General features: G+C 51.7%; 3 protein-coding genes across 39 annotated transcripts in view, besides 3 other annotated features; 1 reads left to right on the top strand and 2 right to left on the bottom strand.

Moving 5' to 3' along the window:
• The window catches only part of TMEM138 (transmembrane protein 138), a 14,497-nt gene extending 12,297 nt beyond the window's left edge, over positions 1-2,200 (bottom strand). For 9 of the 11 annotated variants that reach the window (XR_007062486.1, XR_949965.2, NM_001441181.1 and 6 more), the window contains exons 1-2: positions 2,154-2,200; positions 56-322 (exon numbers count right to left, since the gene is read on the bottom strand). Coding sequence is in view for 7 of the 11 variants with exons in the window: in NM_001441181.1 (NP_001428110.1) it covers positions 56-183 (128 nt within the window). In the remaining 4 variants the exon portion in view is untranslated. The remainder of the gene's footprint in view (positions 1-55; positions 323-2,153) is intronic. The other 2 variants (NR_028473.2, NM_001330281.2) reach the window with 2 other exon arrangements.
• Positions 2,082-2,803: an enhancer, noted in NCBI's record as "H3K27ac hESC enhancer chr11:61129243-61129964 (GRCh37/hg19 assembly coordinates)". NCBI's record gives its function as "activates a minimal SCP1, AML or CMV promoter by ChIP-STARR-seq in naive H9 embryonic stem cells {active_cell/tissue: H9 hESC(naive)}" and the evidence as "EXISTENCE:reporter gene assay evidence [ECO:0000049][PMID:30033119]".
• Positions 2,182-2,671: an enhancer, noted in NCBI's record as "active region_4796". NCBI's record gives its function as "activates an Ori minimal core promoter by ATAC-STARR-seq in GM12878 lymphoblastoid cells {active_cell/tissue: GM12878}" and the evidence as "EXISTENCE:reporter gene assay evidence [ECO:0000049][PMID:35858748]".
• Positions 2,291-15,829, top strand: CYB561A3 (cytochrome b561 family member A3). 8 transcript variants are annotated; one of them, XM_047426555.1, is made up of 9 exons: positions 2,291-2,841; positions 3,232-5,148; positions 6,746-6,841; positions 7,203-7,371; positions 7,846-8,044; positions 10,582-10,790; positions 11,435-11,589; positions 13,427-13,583; positions 14,931-15,829. In XM_047426555.1, exons 4-9 carry the CDS (start codon positions 7,336-7,338, stop codon positions 15,015-15,017), a joined length of 843 nt encoding a protein of 280 aa, XP_047282511.1. In that variant the 5' UTR covers positions 2,291-2,841; positions 3,232-5,148; positions 6,746-6,841; positions 7,203-7,335; the 3' UTR covers positions 15,018-15,829. The 8 variants fall into 8 exon arrangements, 7 of the variants coding, with proteins under 7 accessions (XP_047282511.1, XP_011543123.1, NP_001154926.1 ...); XM_011544821.3 differs by lacking the exon at positions 3,232-5,148; NM_001161454.1 differs by lacking the exon at positions 3,232-5,148 and having other exon boundaries at positions 14,152-15,826.
• Positions 2,922-3,141: an enhancer, noted in NCBI's record as "active region_4795". NCBI's record gives its function as "activates an Ori minimal core promoter by ATAC-STARR-seq in GM12878 lymphoblastoid cells {active_cell/tissue: GM12878}" and the evidence as "EXISTENCE:reporter gene assay evidence [ECO:0000049][PMID:35858748]".
• TKFC (triokinase and FMN cyclase) overlaps positions 11,148-18,377 on the bottom strand; it is a 20,199-nt gene continuing 12,969 nt past the window's right edge. For 6 of the 20 annotated variants that reach the window (XM_047426733.1, XM_047426734.1, XM_047426735.1 and 3 more), the window contains one exon: positions 15,815-18,279. In XM_047426733.1, coding sequence (XP_047282689.1) covers positions 18,250-18,279 — 30 coding nt within the window. In that variant the 3' untranslated portion in view covers positions 15,815-18,249. Of the gene's footprint in view, positions 11,715-15,331; positions 18,280-18,377 lie in introns of those variants that run through there. The other 14 variants (XM_047426729.1, XM_047426730.1, NM_001351976.2 and 11 more) reach the window with 4 other exon arrangements.

Here is an 18,377-nt window from a genome sequence, read left to right as displayed (position 1 = left end):
TCAGGGCCTTTGAATTGCGTGGGTTCAGCTTTCCAGAGTGCCTTACTGCACGCACATGAAGAGCACAAGCTGGATGACAGGAGTCTTTTGGAGCAGTTCTGAGAAGGAATTGACAAAGAGGTCATAGGACAGCAGCAGGAACTGCAGAGAGAGCACCAGGCTGTAGTTACTGGTCTGGAGCATCTTCCTTCTGTTTTCTCGGGCCCCCAAGGGCACATCCCACAGTTCCCAGAAAACCGCTCCTGGCTGTCTCCCTACCACTGAGGGAGAGGCTTCTAGTTCCTTTGAATGAGAGCTGTTTCCCTTGCTCTAAGGCAAGCACCTGTTGGAGCAAAAAGATAAGCAAGGTTAGAAATGTATTAATACCATAAACATTTACTGAGGACCTACTGTGTGCCAGGTACCACTCCAGTTGCATGGGATACTTTAGTGAACAAAACCAACAACAAAAACCCCCAAGAAGTCATTTATTCTAGGACCTTCACCAGCTTTTCTCCATGCCTGGAATCTTCTCAATGCAGAGCTGTCTCTAACCAAAGGAATCTAGTAGTATTACTGAGAAGAATGACTGCCTGGTCATGTAGTAGCGGTGGTAACAAAAATGGCAGCAAATCCTTATACATTGCTTACAATGTGCCAGGGAGTGTTCTACAAGCACTAACATTATTTAAACCTCACAAGGTAGATGACATAATACATTATTACCTTCCCCATTTTACAGATGAGAAATTTGAGGCCAAGAGAGGTAAAATAATTTGTCCAAGGTCACGTCGTTAGTAAGTGGCAGAGCTAGTATTCAGATGCAGGCTGCACGGGTCCACAGTCTGTGCTCTTAACTACTGGACTAAGCTGTCTCTTACATAATTGATAGACTAGTATTTAACTAGGCAGGAAAAATGCCAGCAAAGAAGTGTGAAGTGCCCTAGGCAGAAAAAGCAGAGAGGAAACAGGGGTCTCCTGGAAAGCTTTATCTTTAGGGTTATGGTTGCAACACAGTGGCAGTTGTTTCTTTTCATCTATTCCAAGACCCACAAGTTGCTCTGGGGGTGTCCTATGACCCGCTGCTGTGCCAAATCTATAAAGAAATTTCAAAATGCTCTGGAGTGTTAGCGATTAAATTAGCATCGGTAAAATGTTTTGCAATTTATAAGCTCTTTTCATATTTCTAACCTTACGTAATCCTACAACCATCTTGAGAAGTAGCCATTACAATGTATATTATCCCCATTTTACACAGAGGCTCCGGAAGGTTAAGGCACCTCCTCCACCTCAGCTGGTGAAGTCCCACCTTATTGGACATATGTTCGCGGTTTCCTCATTCATTAAATTTTAGAGAGAGAGAGAGTGTCTCGCTCTGTCGCCAGGCTGGAGTGCAGTGGCATGATCTTGGCTCACTGCAACCTCCGCCTCTCGGGTTCAAGCGATTCTCCTGCCTCAGCCTCCCAAGTAGCTGGGACTACAGGTGCGTGCCACCACGCCTGGCTAATTTTTTGTATTTTTAGTAGAGACGGGGTTTCACCATGTTAGCCAGGATGGTCTCGATCTCCTGACCTCGTGATCCTCCCGCCTCGGCCTCCCAAAGTGCTGGGATTACAGGCGTGAGCCACTGCGCCCGGCCGCATTAAATAACACTGATAGCTACTACCTAGGTACTCACACCACGATAAACTTGTCAACCAAGATCGTTTCCTTTAATCCTCCCTACAAGTCTGCAAGGTGGGAATTATTCCTATTCTACAGGAAAGGACACAGAAGTCAGAGCTCAAGGCATTCCTCCAGGTCTCAAGTCAGCAGAACCCGGCTTCATAACTGTGACGCCAAACCCGTGCTCTTAACCACTACTCATAGGCCACCATCCAGGGCTGTTTTGAGGATCCGTTATGCAGAAACGCCCATGCCTGTCTCTACGTACGACGATCCCCTCCAGTTTAGGGCAGTGGAGACTCACAAGCTCATGAAGCTCTTTAATTCGTCCACCGCTACCTGCCGCCTTCCCTTTGTACCTAGGGCAGTATTCCTCACGCTTCCCAATCCACTTAAAAACGAGGCTTCCTTGGCAAACAACAACAAAGCATAAAACCCAAGCCCAAAACAACAGCACCAAAAATTCTGACTTCTGGTCACTTAACCCACTCCTCGTCAATCACTCTCACCTCCAAACTCCAACGTCGGTTGTCATGCGGACATCGTCCCGGCTTCCGGAAGCCGGCTTTAAATTCCGGAAGTAAATGGAGGAGGCGGGCCCCGTCTGCGCCGTGCGGCCTGCTAGTCCCCGGCTTTCTCTTCCCGCTCTATGGCCAGTCTGGCCGCCATGTTGGAGCTTTCGCTGTTCGGGGCCCGGCCTGCTCCGGGCCCTCCCAGCGTCGCCGCTAGCTGACTTAGGGCTCCCGCCCACACTGCGCACGGCCTTGCTGAGGGCCGGCTCGTAGTGGGAGGCTTCGCGTTCACCTGAACATTTCCGCCTCCTCTGGATGGGGGATGAGAGGCGGGGCTGATGCATCGCAGCAGTCCTGGACCCTGACTTCGGACTTGGAGAAGAAACGCCGAGGAGGAACGGGAGTTAGGGGGTTAGCAGCTTGGCGCGCTGGGAGCCGGCCACCCCTGGTCTCCGGACTTCACTTCCCAGGAGGCCTCGCGCGCGACTGGAAGTGCTGCGAGCCTATAAGAAGGCGAGGCGGCACCCGCCGCTCTGCTCTGGGGCGGCATTGCCAGCCGGCTGTAGGCATTCAGGGCAGTGTCTTCTGCATCTCCTAGGAACCTCGGGAGCGGCAGCTCCGGCGCCTGGTAGCGAGAGGCGGGTTCCGGAGATCCCGGCCTCACTTCGTCCCACTGTGGTTAGGGGTGAGAAGGATCCCGGGGCTGGGAGTTCAGGGACCTGGGTTCGAATGCTGGTTCCGCTGCTATCTCGCTTCGCACTGTCGCGATCCCCTTGCTCGGCCTCAATTTTCTCTTTTAGAAAGTGGGCACCTTTCTCCGCGCTCTTCCTTCCAACGCGGTGGTTATAAAGGCACGAAAGCTCTTCAGAGGACGCAGAAAGCACCTGGAGCTCCTCACCCCAATTTTCACCCATTGTTAGCTGGCACGAGCACCCAGCAGAGGAGTCAGGGATCACCCCTCGGGTGCCTGGAACGGTTCTTTGGACACCTGAGCCGGACCTAGGCACAGCCTGAAGTCGGGGTCTATAATTATTCCGGTGCTAAGGGGTAACTTGTTCACCTACCTCCTTGGCAGGAATATTGAGCCCTTCACTCCTCATGTTCCGACTTTAACAGAAGCTACCTTTGAGAATAAGGAATCCTCAGAGCTGAGAGGGAGTGGACCCGAATTCCTGTACCAGCTCGGCCACTTACCTTGGCTAAGTCATTTTCTTGTTTTGGGCCCCAGTGTCACAGTGTTTTTGATTTGTAAGATGAGGGTTTAGGGCTTGTATCCTAAATCTGGTCCTCAAGATTCTTGAAGTCCCCCAGTCCATCGGGGAGGGAGAGCAACAAACTGATTTTCTACCCCTTCATTTATTTGTAGTTCTAAATTATAAAAGTAACACTGCAAGAGTTTGGAGTAGAGCCTTTTTCTTTTTCTTTCTTTTTTTTTTTTCTGAGACAGAGTCTCACTCTGTCGCCCAGGCTGGAATGCAGTGGCACGATCTCGGCTCACTGCAACCTCCGCCTCCCGGGTTCAAGCGATTCCCCTGCCTCAGCCTCCCAAGTAGCTGGGATTACAGGCGCCCGCTACCGCGCCCGGCTAATTTTTGTATTTTTAGTAGAGACGGGGTTTCTCCATGTTGGTCAGGCTGGTCTCGAACTCCTGACCTCATGTGATCCGCCCGCCTCGGCTTCCCAAAGTGCTGGGATTACAGGCGTGAGCTACCGCGCCCAGCCTGCGTAGAGCCTTTTTCTAAGACTAAGGGCTGGATGGGAACTAGCATTTCTTACCCCTGGATGTGACCTGTTTTAGCTCAGCCGGGAGAATCCTTTTTCGCAAGAAGTTAATAATATCTTGTGACGTGAAAATTATGTGAAACTCAGACTTCAGTGTCCATAAATAAATATTACTGGAACACAGCCGTGGTGCTCATTTGTTAAGATGTTTATGTGGCTGCTCTTGCATGGGCAGAGTTGATGACATAGTTGTGACAGACCATGTGCTCTACAAAGCCTAGAATATTTACTACCTGGACCTTTACAGAAGAGCTTGCTGACTGCTCCCTTAGAATGGGGCTCTGCAAAGTGAGCACACCCTGGGATCACAGCCCAGCCTGCCCTTAGAACAAATGAGAGGATATTTTCAAGCATTTGCATTGCAGTTTTCACGGTTTTTTTGTTTTGTTTTGTTTTTGAGACAGAGTCTAGCTCTGTCGCCCAGGCTAGAGTGCAGTGGTGCGATCTCGGCTCACTTCAGCCTTCTCCTGGGCTCAAGCCATCCTCCCACCTCAGCCTCCTGAGTAGCTGAGACTACAGGTGGATGCCATCACGCCCAGCTAATTTTTTTTTTTTTTTAAGAGATGAGGGCTCACTGTTGCTCAGGCTGGTCTGGAACTCCTGGGTATTTATTTATAGACAGAGTCTATCTCTGTTGCACAGGCTGCAGTGCAGTGGCGTGATCTTGGCTCACTGCAACCTCTGCCTCCTGGGTTCAAGCAATTCTCGTGCCTCAGCTTCCCGAGTACCTTGGACTACAAGCGCATGCCACCGTGCCTGGCTAATTTTTGTATTTTTAGTAGAGACGGGATTTTGCCATGTTGGCCAGGCTGGTCTCGAACCCCTGACTTCAGGTAACCCACCTGCCTGGGCCTCCCAAAGTGCTGGGATTACAGGCATGAATCACTGTGCTGGTCCTTCACTGCATTCTTCCTTTTCTCCTGCTTTGCTCTATTTCAGGAAGTAGGAGGGCTTATCTGTGTATTGTGAGCAGGGCAATATAACTTTGCAGCTCTCTGTCAGGAAAGTGTGCCCAGGGTCTATTCTAAGTCTGTCACAGAGCAGTAAACCAGGACCTTTTCTAGGGTGTGGCTACAGATCCTTTCGGACTGCATTTACTTTTTCCTCTTACAAAGAAAAAAAAAACAGTTGTGGAAGTAGATATTGTCAGATGAGTGAGCCTGCTGATCAAGATCTCTTACATTTCACTGAGGGATGGAGAGTGTTTTAGGTGAATATCTGGTGATCTGAAACGTCCTCTGCCCTTGGAGGAATTGAGGAGGCAGTTCTGAGGCTGGGTAGCAAATCTCTGAGTTAAGTAGTTGAGTCACAAATCTTCTAGGAGGCTGGTGGCATGATTTTCTCCTGCCAGCTTCATGGAAGCTTTTTCCCTGCAGCCCTTGGACCTTCTTTTCTTTTTTTTTTTTTTTTTTGAGACAGAGTCTCACTCTGTCCCCCAGGCTGGAGAGCAGTGGCGCGATCTCGGCTCACTGCAACGTCCACCTCCAGGGTTCAAGCAATTCTCCTGCCTCAGCCTCCCTGGTAGCTGGAATTACAGGCGTGCGCCACCACACCCAGCACATTTTTGCATTTTCAGTAGAGACGTGGTTTCACCATGTTGGCCAGGCTGGTCTCAAACTCCTGACCTCAGGTGATCCATCCGCGTCGGCCTCCCAAAGTGCTGGGATTACAGGCTTGAGCCACCGAGCCTGGCTGGACCTTCCTTTCTCAGAGATTACTGCCAACTTGGGTCACCTTGTGCATCTTTACCTAAGTAGGTGGACCCCTAGCATGGGGAGAGCTGGCATGGCATGGCTGAGGGCCACTGAGAGGCCTGGGCAGGCACAAGGAACATGAGCTGCATGTTAGTAGTTAGGATGAAGTGCATGACAGCAATGACTAAGAATTCTATGTATATATATATATTTTTAGATGGAGTCTCGCTCAGTCGCCAGGCTGGAGTGCAGTGGCGTGATCGCAGCTCACTGCAACCTCCACCTCCCGGGTTCAAGCGATTTTCCTGCCTCAGCCTACCGAGTAGCTAGCTGGGACTAAAGGCGCGCGCCACCATGCCCAGCTAATTTTTTATTTTTAGTAGAGATGGGGGCGGGGGTTCACCATATTGGCCAGGATGGTCTCGATCTCTTGACCTTATGATCTGCCCGCCTCGGCCTCCCAAAGTGCTAGGATTACAGGTGTGAGCCACCTCACCCAGCCTTTTTTTTTTTTTTTTTTTGAGATGAAGTTTCGCTCTCATTGCTCAGGGTGGAGTGCAATGGCACAATCTTGGCTCATTGCAACCTCTGCCTCCCTGGTTCAAGCAATTCTCCTGCCTCAGCCTCCTGAGTAGCTGGGATTGATTACAGGCGCCCACCACCACTCCTGGCTAATTTTGTATTTTTAGTAGAGACCGGGGTTTCACCATGTTGATCAGTCTGGTCTCGAACTCCTGACCTCAGGTGATCCACCTGCCTCAGCCTCCCAAAGTGCAGGATTACAGGCATAAGCCATCGCGCCCAGCGAAGAATTCTAATACTTGACTTCTACAGTGTGCTACATTCATTTTCTCACTTGATCTGACAACCTGTGGTCAAGGAAGCAGCGTGGGCCTTGAAGCTAAACACACAGGATTTGGAACTCCCCACCCACTCTCACTGGGTCCTCATGCTAATTACTTATCTCTCTCAGCCTTAGTTTCCTCACGGAATAATATGCCTCCCAGGGTTAAGAGGAGTAAATGGGATCTTGTGTGTAAGGCTCTGGTGCTCGTAGCTGGTGTTCGTTATTCTTACTGTTCAAGTATTCTTACTGCCACGCCTTTCTTGCAGGTGAGTCCTGCAAATGTTAAGTGATTTGCTCAAGGTGCCCATTTCGCAGGAATTGGAGCCCAGGCCAGTTCTCTGAGCCTATCATTAGGGCTAAAGGTGAGCAGTCAAATGTTTTACCTCCGTGGGGGCTATTGGCTATTAGCTGCTTCCGAGTGAGGGACCTCAATGCAGGAAGCCACACTGTTGCCTTCTTGGTGTGAGTCCGTGGGACAGGGTGACTGCCTTGATGCCTGGGCCCGTGCTGCCTACATATTAGCTGAAAGCAGGGCCAGTCCTGTGGCTTTGCCCACTCACCTAGCGTTTAAGAGCAACTGCTCAGGGCTTTAAGCATTTGCCATGCCTGAAACCAGAGTTGGTTTCTGGGTTTATCAAGGACTTGTGGAAATCTCAAAATAAATCTCTTGCTTTCTGGACCATGAGTTGTTGCTTCCTCTTTTTTTCTCTGGACTTTCCCCAGAGGAAGAGAAAGCAGAAGTCTCAGGGCTGGAGACAGCTGAGGGGCATCAGCTGGTTCAAGGTGTGGAGTGTGGGCAGTGGAGTGAAGGCCTGGTTACCTCTCCAGTGAAGATTAGCCCCATAGAGCTTACTCTATGGGGAAGAACTTTTCTGACTCCTTCCTGTCTAGGGTAATAGTGGGGTGTTTGCTCTTTTCAGACTGTAATTTTTGCCTTCTTATCTTAGAACCCAAGGCCTGGGTGTTTGCGTAATTTAGCCTGGATTTTGATTCCTGTCCCTTTTTTCCTGGGGGGTATGGGGTGGTAATTCTTTACCTTCTGGTCCTGTGAGGGGAGAGGAATCCCAGGACTCTGGGTCTTGGGCCTTGGCATCTGGCCTTCGCCAGGGCCAGCCATAGCCTTGAGTTTGCTGCTCTGTCTGGGCACTGCCAGGTGCTGGGGTGGGGCCTCAGTCATTGTGACTGAAGATCAGGCCCACCCAGGCATTGAGGCCTCGGGCGGGGGGTGGTGCCCAGGCTGATGCAGGGGAACTGAAGCAAAAAGATTCCATCCCACAGGCCAAGAGCTAAATCAGTGTTACCTCCTTTAGCCAGAGAACTGGGTGCATCTGAGCCAGTGGAGATTTGTGACTTCTCCTTCTTCTAGGAGTGCGTGATCAGAATGGTGTCTGGACGGTTCTACTTGTCCTGCCTGCTGCTGGGGTCCCTGGGCTCTATGTGCATCCTCTTCACTATCTACTGGATGCAGTACTGGCGTGGTGGCTTTGCCTGGAATGGCAGCATCTACATGTTCAACTGGCACCCAGTGCTTATGGTTGCTGGCATGGTGGTATTCTATGGAGGTGGTGAGTAAGAGGTCAGGAAGGGAGGCGGGATAGGGCTCAGGCTGGACAAAGCTGCACTTTCCCTCTCCAAGGCTGGCCTTTGTAAATGTTGGGCTTGGGGCTATGGGGGTAGGGTGGGTTGGGCTGTCTCTGGGCCTAGCTGTCATTTGGGGGAGGAAGGGGTTAAGATGGGGGGCATCTCAGAAGGGTGGCTTCACAAATACTCTAGGGCAGGAGTTGGCAAACTTTCTATAGAGGGTCAGATAAATATTTCAGTTTTGCAAGACAGAATCTGTGTTGCAGTTACTCAGCTCTGCCACTGTATTGTGAGAGCAGCCATAGACAACACATACACACAAGTGTGGATCACGTGTTCCAATAAAGCTTTATTTGCAAACATAGGTAGCGAGCTGGATTTGGCCTTTGAGCTGTAGTGTTTTTTTTTTTTTTTTTTTTCTCTAGACGGAGTCTTGCTGTGTCGCCCAGGCTGGAGTGCAGTGGCGTGATATCGGCTCACTGCAAGCTCCACCTCCCAGGTTTGCGCCATTCTCCTGCCTCAGCCTCCCGAGTAGCTGGGACTACAGGCGCCTGCCACCGTGACCGGCTAATTTTTTTTTGTATTTTTAGTAGAGACAGCGTTTCACCGTGTTAGCCAGGATGGTCTTGATCTCCTGACCTTGTGATCTGCCCACCTCAGCCTCCTGAAGTGCTGGGATTACAGGCTTGAGCCATCATGCCCGACCTGAGCTGTAGTTTTTAACCAGCTCTAGAGAACAGGAGATTGAAGCCTCTCATGGTTTAGTCAGGCCACCGAATGAGGGACTTGCTTGCTCTTCCGGGATCCATCTTTTTTTTTTTTTTCTTTTTTTGAGATGGAGTTTTGCTCTTGTTGCCCAGGCTGGAGTGCAATGGCGTGATCTTGGCTCACTGCAACCTCCGCCTCCTGGGTTCAGGCCATTCTCCTGCCTCAGCCTCCCAAGTACCTGAGATTATAGGTGCCCGCCATCATGCCCAGCTAATTTTTATATTTTTTAGTAGAGATGGGGTTTCACCATGTTGGTCAGGCTGGCCTCGAACTCCTGACCTCAGGTGATCCACCCGCCTCTGCCTCCCAAAGTGCTGGGATTACAGGTGTGAGCCACTGCGCCCAACCTGGGATCCATCTTTGTAATCTTTGTCCCATGCTTTCAAATCTGTGCCTTGGGGCCCTGGTGAGCCTCATTTTCCCCATTTGTAAAATGGCAATACGATGCCATTGATGATAGCAGCTTACCATGTGCAGTTCACATATATCATCCCATTTTGTTCTTACAAGTTTGTGAGGTGGGCTCTGTTATATCCCTTTTACAGATGAGGAAATTGAGAGTTAGACAGGAGAGGCCAGGCCAGGCGTGGTGGCTCACGCCTGTAATCCCAGCACTTTGGGAGACTGAGGTGGGCGGATCATGAGGTCAGGGGATCGAGACCATCCTCGCTAACACAGTGAAACCCCGTCTCTACTAAAAATACAAAAAATTAGCCGGGTATGGTGGCAGGCACCTGTAGTCCCAGCTACTTGGGAGGCTGAGGCAGGAGAATGGCGTGAACCCGGGAGGCGGAGCTTGCAGTGAGCTGAGATTGCGCCGCTGCACTCCAGCCTGGATGATAGAACGAGACTCTGTCTCAAAAAAAAAAAAAAAAAAAAAGAAAGGAGAGGCCAAACAGCTAAGAGGCAGAGCCTGGATTTGGACCTATGTTGCCTGACCTTAGTACCTGTGTTGACAGCCAGCCTCACTTGTGACAATTCAGTTTGATGAAACAATGACTGTCATGATGCTTTTTAGCCTAGAAACTGCAAACAAGCTGAATTTATTATTGTGAAAATAGAATGAGAGGTCCAAGAAACCTGCTTCCCCCCTCCACTTTTTTTTTAGGAGACAGGTTTCCCTCTTTTTCAGGCTAGAGTGCAGTGGGATGATCATAGCTTGCTGCAGCCTTGAACTCTTAGGCTCAAGTGATCCTCCCACCTCAGTCCCCCAAGTAGCTGAGAGAACAGGCATGTGCCACCATGCCCGGATAATATTTTTTATTTTTATTTTTTGTGGACACAGGATCTTGCTATGTTGCCCAGGCTGATCTTGAACTTCTGGCCTCCCAAAGTGCTGACATGAGTCACCGTGCCCAGCCCTCCTCCCTTTTTAATTGGAATCTGTTTATTTATTTATTTCTCTCTGTGGCCCAGGCTAGATTGCAGTGGCATGATCATAGCTCACTGTAACCTCAAACTCCTGGCCTCAAGCAGTCCTCCCACCTTGGCCTCCCAAAAAGTGCTGGAATTACAGGCATGAGCCACCTTGCCTGACCACTCCTCCCTTTTTAACTGGCCCTTCTCTCCTCCCTTCATGGCTGTTATCCCACAAATCATGGGAGGGTAGAAGATGCCGAGGAGTTGATACCAGTGCCCTAGCATTTCCTGTTCCCTTGCTGGGAAGCTGTGTAGGATCCTATCAGGGTTATTCCCTGATGTCTGGGTGAGCTCGAGGGGAGAGGCTGAGCCCTGGCACTACTCTCTCCTGCAGCGTCACTGGTGTACCGCCTGCCCCAGTCGTGGGTGGGGCCCAAACTGCCCTGGAAACTCCTCCATGCAGCGCTGCACCTGATGGCCTTCGTCCTCACTGTTGTGGGGCTGGTTGCTGTCTTTACGTTTCACAACCATGGAAGGACTGCCAACCTCTACTCCCTTCACAGCTGGCTGGGCATCACCACTGTCTTCCTCTTCGCCTGCCAGGTGGGTTCTCTCTGTTCTCCTCCTCGAGGTTCCCAGAGCCATGAGCTCTGGTTGGGGGTTCACTTGCATGAGCACCAAATATTCCTCTGCTCACTGCTTGGAGAGGGACTTGCAGATTGTTATCTTGTAGAACTGACAGTTTATTCAAGGGCTGTGGGAGGTCAGTGGCCTGAACTTACCCTGTTCCTTTTATCCCTCCCATTGCCCGTCTCTCGTCCCAGAGCCCTCTCTGCTAACTTTGTCATGGCACGCACTATGCTGACTCTAATCAGCCATCTGGCTTCCACTTTCCCCACTCCCACCTCTGTGAACCAAAAGAATTCTTGAAGTGGTTTCCATATTCTGATCTCAGGCCTGTGCGAGTGAAGAGTTTTATGAGCAAGGACTGGAAGGAACCAGAGACAAACAAGGTGGTTGGGTTTGCTGGGAGTGGGATGGTAGCTAAGCATGTCATTTACTGTTCTTGTTGCTTGGGTAATAGGCCACAATGAGGAAGCTAGCACGGTAGTGGGCAATGCCAGGTGGGAAGGTTTGAGTTGTGAAAGAAGAGCCAGGGAGCAGAGATGGGGAGGAGGCACTGATGGGGTGGGATGTGCTTTGGTCACACATAGCACAGTCGGGTGTGTCCTCCCTTTTGTCCACAGTGGTTCCTGGGCTTTGCTGTCTTCCTCCTGCCCTGGGCGTCCATGTGGCTGCGCAGCCTCCTAAAACCTATCCACGTCTTTTTTGGAGCCGCCATCCTCTCTCTGTCCATCGCATCCGTCATTTCGGGCATTAATGAGAAGCTTTTCTTCAGTTTGTGAGTGCAGTGGGGTCCCCAACTCTAAGGTGAAGAGGAGGGAATAGGGTCTTCAAAAGATACACCCTGTGATCACAGGACTCACCCAAGGGAGGAGAGATTTTGGGGTTGGGTCCACTCCTGATCTGGAAGGTAACAGAATTGATCTTTCTTTAGGTTGAAATTGGTAAGTCAGCAGATATTTATTGAGCATCAGTTTGATTTAGCACCTGCTGTGTGTCAGAAACAGTACTAAGCACCTTACATTTAATCCTGTCAACCACCCTACATCATTGGTATTGATTGGTATTGTTGTCATTGCCATTTTCTTTTTTCTTTTTTTTTGAGATGGAGTCTCACTCTGTCGCCCAGGCTGGAGTGTAGTGGCACAATCTTGGCTCGCTGCAACCTCCACCTGCTGGGTTCAAGCAATTCTCCTGCCTCTGCCTCCCAAGTAGCTGGGCCTACAAGTGTGTGCCACCATGCCCGGCTAATTTTTTGAATTTTTAGTAGGGACGGGGTTTCACCATGCTGGGCAGGCTGGTCTCGGACTCCTGACCTCATGATCTGCCCGCCTCGGCCTCCCAGAGTGCTGGGATTACAGGCATGAGCCACTGCACCCGGCCGTCATTGCCATTTTCAATTGAGGGAACAGATTCTGCAATAGGACTGTTCAGGTAGAAATAAAAATAAAAAAAATGAGGGAACAGAGGGGTTACGTAACTTACCCGAGGGCACACAGCCAGTAAGTGGCAGAGCTGGGACTCAGATTAGGCAGTCTGACTCTAGAGCCTTGCATGCCTGACCACTACTGTCCGTTCTTTTGAGGCAATGGGGTGTAGTGAAAAGCAACTAGGACTTAAGGTCAGACCTTGGTTTCGATCTTGGCTGTGCCATTTACTAGTTATGCAACTTTGGGCAAGTTAATTTCATTGCTTTGAGCTTCAGTTTCCTCATGGGTAAAAGGATTATTACAGCTGGGTGCCGTGGCATGCACCTGTAGTCCCAGCTACTAGGGAGGCTGAGGTGGAAGGAGTCCAGCCTGGGCAACATAGGAAGACCCTCTCTCTCTCCTTTTATCCCCCCAGCCAAGAGATAGCATCTCACTCTGTTGCCTAGGTTGGAGAGCAATGGTGTGACCATAGCTCACTGCAGCATCAAACTCCTGCACTCAAGCGATCTTCCCAATGTAGCCTCCTAAGTAAGCTAGGACTACAGGCATGGACCACCTCACCTAGCTAAGTTTTATTTTTGTAGAGACAGGATCTCACTATGTTGCACAGGCTAGTCTCCAACTCCTGGGGTAAAGCAATCCTCATGCCTTGGCCTCCCAAAGTGCTGGGATTACAAGAGTGAGCCGCTGCACCTGGCTCATTATACAAATATTTGCAGGGACTTAGAAAGGGTGTTAAAATTCAGCCGGGCGCAGTGGCTCACGCCTGTAATCCCAGCACTTTGGGAGGCCGAGGCGGGCGGATCATGAGGTCAGGAGATCGAGACCATCCTGGCTAACATGGTGAAACCCTGTCTCTACTAAAAATACAAAAAATTAGCCAGGCGTGGTGGCAGGCACCTGCAGTCCCAGCTACTTGGGAGGCTGAGGCAGGAGAATGGCGTGAACCCAGGAGGCGGAGCTTGCAGTGAGCCGAGATCGTGCCACTGCACTCCAGCCCGGGTGACAGAGCAAGACTCTGCCTCAAAAAAAAAAAAAAAAAAAAAAAGAAAGGGTGTTAAAATTCTAGATCACATATGGACCCGGGAAGGTTTTCTCACCCTCTGTTAGTGACATCGAGTCTCCCACTAGACAAAAATAGGTGGAAAAATCTCTCGAGGGCTCACATTGTTTTGTCATCTTCAGGAAAAACACCACCAGGCCATACCACAGCCTGCCCAGTGAGGCGGTCTTTGCCAACAGCACCGGGATGCTGGTGGTGGCCTTTGGGCTGCTGGTGCTCTACATCCTTCTGGCTTCATCTTGGAAGCGCCCAGAGCCGGGGATCCTGACCGACAGACAGGTATGGGTTCCAGTCCCACATTCCAGGGTGGGACAGGGCCAGGTCTAGAGAAGGATCTCCCACGAAAGGCTGGGGCCTTGACAAGAAGACTTACCCTGTGGCACAGCAGGAAACCAAGTAACTTGAGGGTGGAGTTAGGGTGGCTGATGGGGAGCACTGGTCCCAAACCAGCGCATCCCAGTGAAATGCTGGGACTCCCCAGTCTGTCCATTGGGAGACAGAATTTCCCCCCCAAATCACTGTGGTTCTGTGGGGTGAAGTGTGGCCTTATCTTCTTCCCCAAGGAAGGGCTTGACTGTGACAAGGGTGTGTGATTTCTCCTTTACCAGCCTGGGGGCTAGTCTAGTGGGATGGGTGCCTGGTGACCAGCTGAGTGCTCAGAGCAGGTCTTGATGGGATGTAGGGAGACGGGGTGTGTACCAGGCTCAGGGACTTTGGGGCTTCCCTGAGGGATTTGGTGGCTTGGATGGGGACCACCCTGCAGGCTGGGGGTCTGTCTGAACAGCTTGGGCCTGGTGTGACTCCTGCATCATGTCATTAACTCCTGGGCATCTGCCTCTCTTTCCAGCCCCTGCTGCATGATGGGGAGTGAAGCAGCAGGAAGGGGCTCCCAAGAGCTCCTGGTGGTGCAGCCTGTGCTCCCCTCAGAAGCTCTGCTCTTCCCAGGGCTCCCGGCTGGTTTCAGCAGGCGACTTTCTTCCAATGCTGGGCCCAGACTTCTTGCCTGGGTGCTGGCCTGCCCTCTCCGGCCGCTTGCTGCCTGTCTGCTTTCCTTGGTGGCTTTGCCTGGGTGCTGGGCCTGCCCTCTCCGGCCGCTTGCTGCCTGTCTGCTTTCCTTGGTGGCTTTGCCTGGGTGCTGGGCCTGCCTTCTCTGGCTGCTTGCTGCCTGTCTGCTTTCCTTGGTGGCTTTGGCTTCTGCACTCCTTGGCGTCAGCCTCTCAGGTCCTCCATTCACACGAGGTCCTCCTCGCTCTGGCCGCTCTTGCTGCTCCTGTCTGAAGAAATCAGACTGATTTCCTCTTAAGACTCCTAGGGATGTGGTGAAGAGCTGGGACTCAAGTGCAGTCCACGGTGTGAAACATGAGGGAGGTGAGGTGTCCGTCCACTTCCCCCATAAAGGTGTGCATTTCAGTTAGGCTGCCCCGCCACAGAGCAGGCTTCATCTGCTCTGCCATCCAGCCCCATCTGGATGTGAGGTGGGGTGGAGACATCATGGGGTGATTGCAGAAAGGGGGAGTGGCGGCCCACGCAGCTTCTGCTGAGGAGCTGACCGCTCTGAGCTGTTCTGTTTCGTATTGCTGCTCTGTGTCTGCATGTATTGTGACCGTGCGGCTCCACCTCTTCCAGCTGCTGCTACAGCTGAGGCCTGGATCCCGGCCTTTCCCTGTGACTTACGTGTCTGTCACCGGCAGGCAGCCCTACAAATCCTGGTGACCTGCTCTCCCAAGAACAGAGCCTGTCCCCAGATGTCCCAGTAGCGATGAGTAACAGAGGTGGCTGTGGACTTCCTCTACTTCTCCTTGCTGGATCAGGGCCTTCCTGCCTCCCGCTGGGCAGGTCTGGCCTTGCTCTCTTGGCAGGGCCCCAGCCCCTCTGACCACTCTGCAGCTCACCATGCAGCTGATGCCAAAGTTGTGGTGTCCAGTGTGCAGCAGCCCTGGGAGCCACTGCCACCTTCAGAGGGGTTCCTTGCTGAGACCCACATTGCTTCACCTGGCCCCACCATGGCTGCTTGCCTGGCCCAACCTAGCGTTCTGTGCCATGCTAGAGCTTGAGCTGTTGCTCTTCTTCAGGGGAGGAAATAGGGTGGAGAGCGGGAAGGGTCTTGCTCCTAAGTGTTGCTGCTGTGGCTTTTTTGCCTTCTCCAAAGACGCACTGCCAGGTCCCAAGCTTCAGACTGCTGTGCTTAGTAAGCAAGTGAGAAGCCTGGGGTTTGGAGCCCACCTACTCTCTGGCAGCATCAGCATCCTACTCCTGGCAACATCAGGCCAACGTCCACCCCAGCCTCACATTGCCAGATGTTGGCAGAAGGGCTAATATTGACCGTCTTGACTGGCTGGAGCCTTCAAAGCCACTGGGATGTCCTCCAGGCACCTGGGTCCCATGACCAGCTCCCCATCTCCATAGGGGTAGGCATTTCACTGGTTTATGAAGCTCGAGTTTCATTAAATATGTTAAGAATCAAAGCTGTCTTTGTTCAGGCTGCTATAACAAAAATATAATAGCCTGGGTGGCTTAAACAACAAGTGTTTATTTCTCACAGTTCTGGAGGCTATAGACATCCAAGATGAAGGCGCTGGCAAATGTGGTGTGTGGCAAGGGCCAGCTTCCTCAGAGACCATCTTCTCACCATAACCTCACATGGTGGAAAGGGCGTGAGAGCTCTCTGGGGCTCCACCCTCATAACCCCATCACCTCCCAAAGGCCCCACGTCCTAACACTACCATAGTGGGGGTGAGCCTTTCAACACAGGAATTTGGGGGGGACACAAACATTCAGTCTCTAATAACAGCCCTCTAATGAAATGATGCTGTGGTTAAATGAGTTCTGGGCCAATTTGTAAAAGCCTCAGGACAGGTCTGACCCTCACAGACCTAGGGAGGGGCCAACCGGAAGGCACCAAAGATCCACATGATCCTCTGTCTTCATGGAATGGCATGTGTGGATTCACATGCAGCTCATTTATGTGCGTGTCCTTAATAGCTAATGGCACGTGCTTATCTCACGAGGAAGGAAATTTTTCCTATTTCATAATCTGAGAAAACAAGACTCAAAAAGGGTGACTAGGTTGAGGTCACCCAGCCAGGAAATGACAGAGCTGGGATCCACAGGCCACCGTCTGAGGTCAGCCTCCTTCCCAGCTGCTGGGCGCATACTCCTGTGCACGTGGATGCCTTGTGGTCAGGGACGTATGGTGCAGCCGACAGACAGGACCCTGGGTAGAGAAGCCCAGGCACTCGGGGAGCCTGCAGCCAAATTTGGGCCAAGTAGGTGACGGGGGTTGGGAGGGCAGGAGGCTCTTTCCTACCAGCTAGTGGTAGAGCAGATGACCTGGGAGGGGCTGGGGGCCCAACCCCTGTGATAACCGTAACTCTCAGTGAGTGAGCACTTGGACTGTGCTGGGCTTTATGGCCCATCTTCATCAATTCATTTGAATCCTTTCATGTCCCCATGAGGTGGGTACCATTCTGATTTTACAGATCCCAAAGGGCTAAAAAATAGGCCTTAGCTCCTGTAGCCGGGTTAAAGCAGAATCAGATTTCAGATCATGTGTATGAGTCGACAGCCAGTGCCTTTAACCACTCCCTACCCTACATGTGTGCCAGGCATGTGCTGTTTGTCTCCACATGCATACAGTGCCCCTGCTCACCCTGGTGCCATCAGTGATCGCTCTAGAAAGAGACCTAGGGGCTGGCTTGGCTGCAGTTTCTTTTTTTTTTTTTTTTTTTTTTGAGACAGGGTCTCGCTTTGTTGCCCAGGCTGGAGTATAGTGGCATGCTTATGGCTCACCGCAGCCTCGACCTCCTGGGCCCAAGCCATCCTCCCAACTCAGCCTCCCAAGTTAGGACTATAGGCACACACTACTATGCCTGGCTAATTTTGTATTTTTTGGTAGAGACAGGGTTTTACCATGTTGCCCAGACTGGTCTTGAACTCCTGAGTGTAAGGGATCCGCCTGCCTTGGCCTCCCAAAGTGCTGGGATTGCAGGTGTGAGCCACCGTGCCCGGCCTGGCTGCATTTTTTGATCTACAACTGAACCTTAGACTATGATGATTTCTTTTCCTTCTGGTGTCCCAAATGCCCATTCGACTCCCGAGGAGCCACTGAATTATTAATTCAATGCTAAGAAAAGCCCCTCTACCATTCTTACATGCATCAGGTGTGTGTACTGGAAAGGGGATGGGTCGGGGGTCTCAGTGGAAGCAGCCCAGCTGAGGAGACACTGCCTTAGGGGCTCAGGTAATAAAGATCTGCCTGGTAGAAGATGGGTCATGATGCCTGCAGCCAGGGCTGTGGGCCCCCTTGTTTACATGCTTGGGAAAAGGTCCCTCAGAGGAGGCAGTGTCTTTCTTGCTTCCATGTATTATAGTTTATTAACTTTCTTTTTCACGCTCACTGGGGTTAAGGTGCGGAAAGCATTTCACAGGGAGTCTTAAAACCAAATTAGGATTGCCAGGTAAAGGCTGCACAAGGAAAATGCCTTATCTCTGAAGCCCAGAGCTGGCAGGGGAGGGCATGACCCAGGGACTCCACCCTCCTGCAAAGGGAAAGGGCATGCTGGAGAGGCATGGGGACCCACTCCAGCTCACTCTGGGTGCTGTCTGTAGTTCTGGAAGCTTGGTGGAGGATTTCCTGCTCAACTTAGAGGGTGGGCCAATGGGGCCAGGCCGGGGGAAGGTGAGGGTTGGAAGGCAGAAGGAAGTGACAAAGGCCACCTCAGCACAGCAGTGAGAGGAGCTGAGGCCAAGGGAGGCAGTCACACACCCTAGCTCTGCAAGACCTCCAAGATGGCCCGGAGGATGGCAGCAGCTGCCACCGCCCCGGGGTCTGGCTGCTCCAGCCGTGCTGAGCTGATATAACTGGCTCTTCCGGCTCCAGCTTCCATATTCTTGGTGGCCTCGGCTGCAGCTTCGGCACTCTGGGGGATGGGGTGTGGGAGCAGGTTCAAGGGCAGATCACCAGGCCGCCTCCTTCCTGCCATGGGCAGAACGTCTCTGCCGTGCAGCCTGGCCCTGCACGCCCTTGCCCTGGCTCTGCCAGCACCCTCTGCTCTGTCACCAAATGGAAAGTCA

This window comes from Homo sapiens, chromosome 11, assembly GCF_000001405.40.
Source record: "Homo sapiens chromosome 11, GRCh38.p14 Primary Assembly".
NCBI classification, from domain to species: Eukaryota; Metazoa; Chordata; class Mammalia; order Primates; family Hominidae; genus Homo; species Homo sapiens.
Note: the sequence above shows the minus strand (reverse complement) of the source record. Positions and strands in the feature narration are given on the sequence as shown.